The 10,735-nt window shown below is 39.2% G+C and overlaps 1 annotated feature.

Moving 5' to 3' along the window:
- Window positions 3,742-4,243: an enhancer, noted in NCBI's record as "H3K4me1 hESC enhancer chr7:91285565-91286066 (GRCh37/hg19 assembly coordinates)". NCBI's record gives its function as "activates a minimal SCP1, AML or CMV promoter by ChIP-STARR-seq in naive H9 embryonic stem cells {active_cell/tissue: H9 hESC(naive)}" and the evidence as "EXISTENCE:reporter gene assay evidence [ECO:0000049][PMID:30033119]".

Raw genomic sequence — 10,735 nt, 5'->3', positions numbered from 1 at the left:
AGTATGATTTGACCCTGTGTGGGAAGCAGCAGCAATCACACTAGGCCCAGGGCCCCCTTCCTCACTGCTTCTACTCTGTCGGGGTTTCCCAGCCCTCCAGAGATTCAGAAGCTGCTACCACTACAAATGGAATATCCTATTCCCCTTGCCAATTCAAACTAGGGATGCTCAGAAGGAACATTATTTAAACCAATTTTTTAAAACCCACAAAATCCTAGGAATAGATGAACCTGCAAGGCATGGATTTCTTACCACAAGATAATTTATTTACATGAGTTTGTTTGATTGGCACCATTTTAAATCATCATGCCTGGATCCTCTCTCCCTTGCCTTAGCCTGGCCTCAGCTGAAAGAAAAGTTCCCTTGCTTGTGCTTTAACATGGTTGATCTGGGCAGGTCTGGAGGAGCTCTGGAGGTCTATAAAGGAGGTAAGCTCTTCAGGAGGCTGAAGTTCGGAAAAACCAGAATTAATACTCCTTTTACTTAGGATTGTCTCTTATCAGAGTTAATCAATAACGGGACTGAAATTTCTCACCAGGGAATGATGTAAAATCAGTAAAAGGTTCAGGAATGGTGGCCCGGGATTTACATTAAGTGGGACTGGTCTTAGCCTCATTTTACATGCCAAAAAAAATGCATACATTTTATTTCTAATTGAGTTAAAATACATATAGTTCAGTAATGTTATATGTCTCCACATTGTTGTGCAACTGATCTCAAGAACTTTTTCATCTTGTCAAACTGCAACTCTATATCCATAAAACAACAACTCGCCTGTGAAATATACATATATATTTTAACTGAAATAGTTTTCCCCATCTCTTCACTTGGCTACCTCATCTTTCAGGCCTTAATTTAGATGCCACCTTTTCCAGGAAGCCTTCCATGATCATTTCTGTTCAGTGCCCTGAGTGCCCTCTTTTGTATGACTTGTTCTATTTGACTGTAATTATATGTCTAATTTAGACTGTGAGCTCCTCAATGGCTGGCGAGGGGTCAGTCTTATCGATTGTTATCTCCTCAGAGCTTAGTGCCTGAAAAGAAGGTGCTTCATAAGTAATTGTTAAATTAAAAACCATCTGTAACATGACCGAGACTTACTTTAGATCCAAGTGAAATGAATTGGGATGGAGTTTAGACAGACCACATCCGCCCACAGGGTGTTTGACCGTAGTCTGAATGGATTTCCCAAACCTTCTGTCAACTACTTGTACTTGAGAGGAAAGGGAGGCGCCAGGAAAACAAAAACTTCTGAGAATGACCCTGCTTTCAGGAAATGAAATGATAGGAACACAAGCAGTATGTAGGAAGGAAAATAGGATTGGAAATTAGAAGTCCTGATGTAGAGCCCTAGCTTCTCTACTAATTATCTTTGTGATCTTAGACAATTCATAGAACCTCTCTGAATGAAAGTTTCCTCATCTGTAAACTATAGCTAACACAAAACCTGCCACCTTCTGTCACAGAACTCTTGTGAAGATATGAAAATGCTTTGTGAACTATAAAACAGCATAGAGGCATTAATTATTAGAACTGTAATATTACAGTGAGGGTTGTTACTTAGGGAAAGGCAATCAGGATTCCTGGGGGCAGACTCTGGAGGCCCCAAGTTCAACTTCACAGATAATTTTTCTTTGGAGACTGAGCTGAGGCTTTAGAACCTGATTGTCTCATAGAGAATGGCCAGCTTCATTTTCCTTGACTGCATTTCTTGGCCTTCAGGGAGGCCAAGCAATATGCAAAAGGGATAATATGAGAACAATAAGAAGAATTCCTGTGTAGAAAATTGAGATTTAGAGAATGCAAGATTGGAGGTCAGGAGAGAAATCATAGGGTGAGTACTGGGGACATGGCTGAGACTTTCTTTTTCAGCCATGTGAACCCAGGCAAGTTTGTTCTCTTGGAAACTTTACCAGATTGGTGTCTTGCTCCAAAGGAGCCCCTGTTTCAAAATGCAGTTGTAGTTCAAGACCATTTCAAAAAATCAGAAAACTGGAATAAAAATCTCTTTTTTTTTTTTTTTTAAGAGTCATCCCATTGGCCTGGATGCTCTGAAGTTTCCAGACTGCGTTCTCCCTTGTTATAAGAGATATCCACTTAAGGAGTACCATGAAGTTGCTCTAACTTTAAGTTTAGACTTGGAGAAGTTAAAAGCTGTGCAACCTGATCTGAATAGAAATGTGGTCACAAAGCGTAAAGAAAGTCAATGAAAACAGGATTTTAATATTTTAGAAGCCATTTCCTCTGCTGCATTGGAAATTCAAATAGAACAGCACGGGGGTATGGGAATTGGAAGCAGAATATAAAACCTACCAGGACAGAAAAGCAAAACAGATATGCCTCATTTCATTGTCCATCATAAATAATTGTTAATAAACAGCTCAAATATGGGAAACTCTGCTTGTCCTATTTAATCTCAAGGAACAAAAAGCAAACTTAGGAACGCAGGTGAAGTTTTGAAATTGGGCAATTTTGGCCTAGTTATTGTGCTGTTAAATGTTTATGTATATGAAACATATTCTTGGAAGATGTCTGGAGCCTGTTGGTTACTTCAAATCACTTTCATGTCCACATCTGTTTCCCATTATAAATCTCTTCAGATTTGATTTTTTTCCCTATTGCTCACTTTCTCATTGTAAAACAACTAATATATTTATTTAATTTTACTTCTCCCATGCTTTTTGTTCCTTCTGATGTGTATAAAATGTGGCTACTACCCAAAACACCCAAATGGAGAAGAGTAATTCTTAATGTTAAAAGATTGGTAAAATCACTTTTCCTTTGATTCAGTAAATAGGGCTGTCAGTTTGGTAGGTGAAAAAGTATATTTGAAATCTGACAAACTGCCAACTTACGACATCAAATTGTGGGCCAGGAACACTCCCATTGACTGGATCCTCCAGTGACACGTTAGGAATACATTTGCTGGGAAGGCATTCCACCCAACTCACATTCCTCAAAGTGATTAATTGCCTGGTATGTCTGCTTTGTGCTTTGAACTTGAAAAGCCCAATATAAATACAAAGTATCTCAGGATGGGGATGGTGGTGAGGATGCTAATGACAGGATGATAGATAAGAACCTTAGTGAAATGTGACTTTAAACACTTAAACAGAATTCAATATTTTTTTCTCTCTTTTTTTTTTTGACACAAGGAAATAGCATTTGAATCCATGCAAGAATTCACTGGGTTTGCTTCCAAGATGGCATATTGCTTTACTTCCATTCATAATGATTTTCAGCTTTTCACACACATGGTACATGAATTACCAGTTCTGTGTTCCCATCACTTCGGCTGCCATTAACAACTGGAGAAAAGAATCTATAAAACTGTATAGCCTATACTTATCTCTGAACAGATTTAATTGGCCACACCTTAAAAGGAATTCCTTCTTTTGAATATATTGTGCAACCAAATGCTTCCCCCCAAACCCACCCCACTGCCTCCTCCTGACTTCCAATCAATTTGGGGCCTAAGGCTGGTGTAATCCATTGTTGACAGATATGTTTAATGAGCCTGGCTTTGAGCATTCGTAGCTGAGGGACTGCGGATTAGGTTTTATCTTATTTCACATCTTGATTAATAATCTGGGAGGAGGCTTCGACATGGTAATGGAATGAAATTTGCAGTGTGAATGAAGCTGGGAGACCTTGCAAAGCAAGAGGCAGCTTAGAAAAGCCAGTGTGGGGTGGGCAGGTGGAAAGGCCTGTGTGAGGTGGCCCCACGGCGCTGTTCGGCAGAGGGGCTGTGGTGGGAGCCAGAAGGCCCGACCCTTTCCTAGTGTTGCCACACTGGATCTGAAGGGCCGTAGCTTGTGTGGCTGCCCAGCACAGAGCTCTTTTGCAATGTGTTACTCACTGCTAGTTCATGCCAGTTTTGGGAAAATAATCAGAAACATAGGTTTTCCACATTAAGGAGGAAACCAGACTGCAGCAGTGCTCAAACAGATCTGGAGGCAGCACTTCCTTATGGGTTGGGCTGCTGGGAAGTGTTTCATGAATAGGCTTCACCACCTGCACATGTGGAAACCCCTTGCTCTGGTCACCTGAATTAATTCTCTTGGCATATCAAAGTGCTTCTGGAACAGCTCCTCTACTAGGGGAGAAATGCCACCTAAGTCTTCCTCCAATTGGAAGCATTCTCTAATGTTTGAAAGAGCTGGATCTCTGTGTTAGAAAAATCTTAACTTGATGTGCTCTCTGGTCTATGTACCCATTTTAATGAATCTAGTAGAGGCTGAGTACTCTGAATCCCCTTCCTGTGGTGATATAAATGCTTTCCCCACAAGGTTCGAGTTAACCCAGCTGTCTTGATTTGTGTGAGGAGTACTGGTGGGACAGTTTAAAGTGAAAATGGGGCTGGAGAGCACACAGTGTGGCTTATTTATTCTCGATTACTTTGCCTGTTGCTTTCCAGTGGTGACTTTCAACAAATGAATAAGTTATACTTTTAAAGCAAGAAAGGAAATTAGAGTCAAAAGTCCTTATTTTACTCCATCTCTGCCTGAACCTGAGGCCTGTAGAGGAGGCTTGCCTTGCCCAGAGTTACCAGGATGGATATGAATGGAGCTGGGATGTGAATAGGTCTCTGCTTCTCATTCCATCCTCTCTCCCTCCACAGAATTCCTGAGCTGCCCAGTATTTAGATTGTAGGCCACATGGACATCTATCATGTCCTGGGGAGACTCACTAGATAACATATGGCTTTTGATTAATTTATTGGTCATAGGACCAGGAATTTTGAAGATTTAGGAAGAGTCTTATGACATACTTTATGGAATTTTAAAAATGTACCAGAAGTGAAGAACATGTTACCTTTTGAGCACTTTGCTCATAGGAAATGTTGCTCCTGAAATTTTCAGAGAAGGCGTGGAGAAGGAATCAGGGAAAAAATTTGATTTTTGTAAACTATTTTGAAATTACCTGTCAATTTCAAAGCTATTTATGTATCCCAGTTCTTTGGCTTGGTGAATAAAGGAAACTTCTGTAACATCTGGAAAGATGAAAATGTCAAACAAATTATACTTCCCAATGAACCCATTCTGTCGTAGTTTTAATATCGAGTAACATACTGTTTAACAATTTCAGTGCATTGTCATTGAAATGATTGGAAGACAGAAGTCTTTCATATCAAAATTAGCCACTTCAGAGCAAATTGAAAGATAGGGCAAGGGAGGACTCTTGGAAGCAGAAGGAGGAGAAAATATAATAGAAATAATTCATGGAGACCTGTTATTTTAGTTTTAGCACAGTTTTTATTGTGTGTCTGGCAGATTAACATACTACTACTTATTCATCATAATATTTATCTGTGAAAAAAGTGATTGAGAGTTTAATTTACTTGAAGGTTGTTATTATGTCTTGGAATGAAGGTATTGGACAAGTATAAATATAAGTGTGATTCTTTTTATTATCTTTGGTTTAAACTCCTAACTTCAAAGTCAGTGATGAAGGAGGGGTTCCTAACACCTAGGAGTTTATGACAGGTCTCTGAAGTATAAATTTTGATTGACCCTAAATATGAAAAACATGTTTTTCCCAGAAGAATAGGTTTGACCTTTTAAAAAGTTTTATTTTCTAATAAAATAATGCTAGTGTAAGGGATTTTTTTCTAAAAGTATAACTTGCTTGAATTGTGTGAGCTTTGTAAGTTTAAGAGCATGTGCTCAAAGCAGTGTGTACACATAGAAGAACAGAAAAGCCCTACTTAAAGAAAGAAGTAAAATAGTGGGAAGGGAAGCAAAGGAAAAATAAAATCAAGTTGAAATCAAAGGAGGGGTAAAAATGTCAGTGGAAAAATAGGAGAGTCCAAATCTTCTTGAATATTTTATAGCAAGCTTTAGAGCAAGCTTGATCACCCAAAGGACACACCGCAGGGATTAGTGTTCGAAAATGAACAACAGATGTTGCATGTCAACAGATAATATCCCAGTGGGTGAAGAGCATTTAGGGTGAAAGAAAGTAAAACACATCGTCAGGTGGTCTCTGGTAGTTTGGGTAAATCTTTGATGAGGAATAAGTTTCTTGTGTAACTGTCAGAGGCTCATTGGAGCAACCCAATGATTTTTCCAGTTAACGGGATTCTAAGTGCATATGCAAGGAAGATTAATCAGGTAATGGCCACTTATAGAACATCTCTTATAAGTCACTGAACTTTGACATAAACCCTTCTTTGAAGGAGGCTATAACTGAAAATGACTCTGATTGATAAATGTCGTTGAGCAAGTTGGCTTGAGTAGGGAGGAATTATTCCTCTTTTTAGCACTGAGACCTCCTCAAAAATATTTTTCCTGGTCACTATATTTGTAAGGTGGCTGTATCCTACTTCCTCAGTGATCTTTATTCCATTTCTCCACTTTACTGTCTTCATTTATCATTCTGTGAAACTGTGTACATGTTTGTTTCCTGGTCACTATCTGTCTTTCTTATCAGAATAAAACTCCATGAAATTAGGGATGACCTTCGTTTTCTTCATCACAATATACCCAATGCCTAGAGTAGTGCCTAGTACATGGTGGGAAGTTCAAAATGCATCCAGTGGTATTTCAGACATAATATTTAATTCTATAACTTGAATTAAGAATCAATTTATTAAGTCATTATGGTAAGCAGAAAGATAGAACTCAGGGAGGAGAGAGAAGATGGAAGAGAGACAATTTACAATTTGCATATCTTTCATGTTTCTTGACTATGGATTAAGAAAGTATCAAGACTGGACTGCTGAGTGTAGACAATCTCTGATCAGTCTGGATGTCTTTGAGAAACTCGCATCAAAGGACAAGACAACATGGAAGTGATGTCTTTATTTCAAGTGAGACCACTGAGCATGAAATATATCTGTCAGCTCATTCTTATCCCATCTCTTCCTCTCTCCTGCCCCCAACTTCCCTGAACAAAAATACTGAGGATTACTGTTCTATTCTTAGAAACTAGAACACTAAGTTTTCTGCCAAAATAATTAATCTATTCACTCACTTAGTATATATTATTTGATTACATACTAAGTAATGGGGCCTCCCAAAGAGATTAAGACATAGTTTTAACTTTGCATGAACTTTATCATTAATGACTAACAGATCTCTAGCTGGTATTGTGATTGGTGAGATTCCAAGGTTATTGTTCTCAAATGAGAATAATGACCCTATTAGGATCCTCTGGTCTCTAGCTTTATTCCTTTGCTTTGGGACATCAGTGGGAAAAGGAAAGATCTAGAAATGGAATTTATATAACCTACATTCACTGAAAATAAGACTCAAAAATTAAATAACTGTTTGAAAATGATTACAGTCTTAAATTACTGACAAAATTTTAAAAATCATTAACAAAATTATTCTGCCAAACACTTCATTGAGCTCTGTTCCTCCCATTAATTTAGTGAGCTTGTTTTTTTTCTGTGAGGGGTCAGTTCTGTTCAACAGATTGAGTGCCTAAAGTGCGCTAGGCACTGAGGAAGCCAAAATGAGATAGACAAAACCCTTGCCCTTAGGAGCTCAAAATACAGTGGAGGAGGCAGACAAACCGTAACCCAAAAATACTATAATAAGAACAGAAGTCTGTACAATGTCCTGGAGTAGCTCAGAAAAGGGTCGGTTAACTCTCTGAACAACGAATGAGTAAAAAGAATAGGGAGGTGATGCAAGCCAAGGATGCCTACCTTTTTGTGAAGAGGAGCTACTTCAAATCTCTCCTGAATCTGGAGCGTGGAAGTGCAGACATCACTCTCGCAGAATGGTTGGCACTGGAGAGTCTGTGAGTTGTTCCAGGTTTGTTTCTCAATCTAAAGATTGAGATCGTGGTAGGCTACATGGCTTTAGTATTGGGAGATGAGTCTAGCATATATTTTTTCATAAAGGTAAATTTATTTTGCTTAAGAGATATCTCAATCTGAGACTATGTCTAGTTTGGTGTTTAAAATATTGTTTCTTTTGCAAAATGATAGCAATGAGAGGTTATTGTTGTTTTAATGCATTTATTTGGCAGAGGTGTACCCGGGATCAGGAACCAAGGGGGGTCAACAGAAAAGACCACAGGAGTTAAGCAGAAGTGAGATGTTGATTGTGCAGGAAAAGTATCTCTTCAGAGCTGTTTTTAAAATCTTGGTGGTGCATATTTGCACTCTCTCTCTCTCCCTCTGTGTGTGTGTATGCGTGTGTTTTATGACACTACTGTGTACTGGGCAGTCCAGCCATAACAATGCAGGGAAGAACCACTGCCTGCTTGGCTGTGAAAAGGTAAAGATGCAGAGGAGAGAGAGCAAAAATCTCATTAACAGTCCTTTCAATCAGTGGTCCATCAGGGAGGCAGGTGGTGAGGTGAGAAGACAGGGAGGGGAACCTGTAATCAGGTAGAGGAACAGAGATAGAATTTCTCACCTTTTTTCTTCACAAGCCCTGCTAAGGAGCTGCTGCTTTATCCTGTAATCAGATGGGTGTGGGTTTGAATTTGAGATCTTTCACTCACTAGCTCTCATAGGAGTGCTATGAAAGTGAATTATGACAATCTATATGATAGTTGTTTAGCAGAGTATCTGGCACATAGCAAATGTTCAATAAATATTACTACTACCACCACTGTTATTATTAAGTAGTTCCATTCATACTAAACCACAGTTGCCAATCCAGAAGAAGAAACCACCATTAATCAGCTTTGGGGCAATATAAGAAGTAGGACCTGAGTGCTGGAGGGTTGGAGTCATCCCAGTAAGGTCTGGGGATTGCAGCAGAGAAGAAAGAGCAATCCTAAGAACAAAAGCAGAGAGGGCAAAGGCATCCTGCAGCTGTTCAGCCAATGGTGTCAGTAAATTGGATTTAAGTTAGGGATGGAGAGAAGCAAACAAAAAGCAGATGCCATTGGAAAAATAAAAATAACTAGGATGACAAAGATATGTAAAAACAAATCAGTCTGTAAATTTATATGGCAGGATTATGAAGAGAATCCAAATACCAAACAATTTTATGGTCTAACTATAACCTTCCCTTTGAAATGAAGATATCATTGCCAGTCTTTGAGGGTTCAGCACACTTTGGATTTAAATTAAATGTATAAATCTCCTTCTTCAGTCGGGAATAACCAGATTTTGAACACTTTAAGCTAGCTTCTCTGTCTTGCAGCTTTAAAAATGATAATACAAAGTTATGTGTAGTATTGACAATAATATATAATTATCTTGCTATCTTAATTTGATTTAGAAACAGGTCCAGCAGAGAAAGTAATAAGGTTTCCTTTAAAGGAGAGAGTAGGTAAGATAGGCTAGAGCTGGCTATGTCCATAGTCCCAGCATTCAGAATCCAATGACTAATGCATTTATCAAACATGGAGTGAGCAGTGGGAAATACAGGTAAAGAGAGTCTCAAGGCACCTCCCTGTAAAGAGTTTACAATCTGGAGAGTAATGAGACATGAAGAAACAATACAGTGTAATGTGGGAAATCGTAAAATAGGGACTCAAATAATATGCTATGGGAGCCCAGGGGGAAAAAAATCCCCTAACTTGCATTGGGTTGTCATCAAAGACTTCCACAAAAATAATGCAGGCTAAATCACCTGAACAGGAATTTTCAGAGTAGAATTAAGGGCTGAAAGGGTAGGGGATAAGGTGGGGACAGGTTTTCAGGGTAGAAAGCTGTCTATAGAGAACATGTTATTGTCAGAGAACAAGTATTTTACTGTGGCTGGAATAAAGGATACCTTTGGGAAAATGTCAGAAGATGCGATTGGAAAGGTAGGCAGGGGATAGATCACAAGTGGATTTTTATGCCTCAATAACAAATTTGAATTAATCCTGTAGGTGGGGGAGCACTTTGACCAGATGGCATTTTAGAAAGATACTCAGCATTGATGTGGAGACTAGATTCGATTGTTTAGAGACTCAAGGCTGGAGGCTACCACATGGTATAGGTGGGACGTCACAAGGGCAGTGGTTAAACTGAGGCAGTGGTTGTGAGAATGGAGAGGAGGACGATGATCTGGGTATGTGGGGAGTGGTGATGGTGTGGGTTAGGAATGAAGATGGGGTGTTGGATTATATTCTGAATTCTCCCTTAGGAGCTAGGCAGATGAATATGGCAATCACCAATGTAAAGGATAAAAGACAAGTTAAGGTTTGAAGGGCTTTCTTTCTTTCTTTATGACACTTTAAGTTTTAGGGTACATGTGCACAACGTGCAGATTTGTTACATATGTCTACATTTGCCATGTTGGTGTGCTGCACCCATTAACTCGTCATTTAACATTAGGTATAGCTCCTAATGCTATCCCTCCCCCCCTCCCCCCACTCCACAACAGGCCCCAGTGTGTGATGTTCCCCTTCCTGCGTCCATGTGTTCTCATTGTTCAATTCCCACCTATGAGTGAGAACATGCGGTGTTTGGTTTTTTGTCCTTGTGACAGTTTGCTGAGAATGATGGTTTCCAGCTTTATCCATGTCCCTACAAAGGACATGAACTCATCCTTTTTTATGGCTGCATAGTATTCCATGGTGTATATATGCCACATTTTCTTAATCCAGTCTATCATTGTTGGACATTTGGGTTCGTTCCAAGTCTTTGCTATTGTGAATAGTGCCGCAATAAACATACTTGTGCATGTGTCTTTATAGCAGCATGATTTATAATCCTTTTGGTATATACCCAGTAATGGGATGGCTGGGTCAAACAGTATTTCTAGTTCTAGATCCCTGAAGAATAGCCACACTGACTTCCACAATGGTTGAACTAGTTTACAGTCCCACCAACAGT

Source organism: Homo sapiens, chromosome 7 (genome assembly GCF_000001405.40).
Source record: "Homo sapiens chromosome 7, GRCh38.p14 Primary Assembly".
Taxonomy (NCBI): Eukaryota; Metazoa; Chordata; class Mammalia; order Primates; family Hominidae; genus Homo; species Homo sapiens.
Note: the sequence above shows the minus strand (reverse complement) of the source record. Positions and strands in the feature narration are given on the sequence as shown.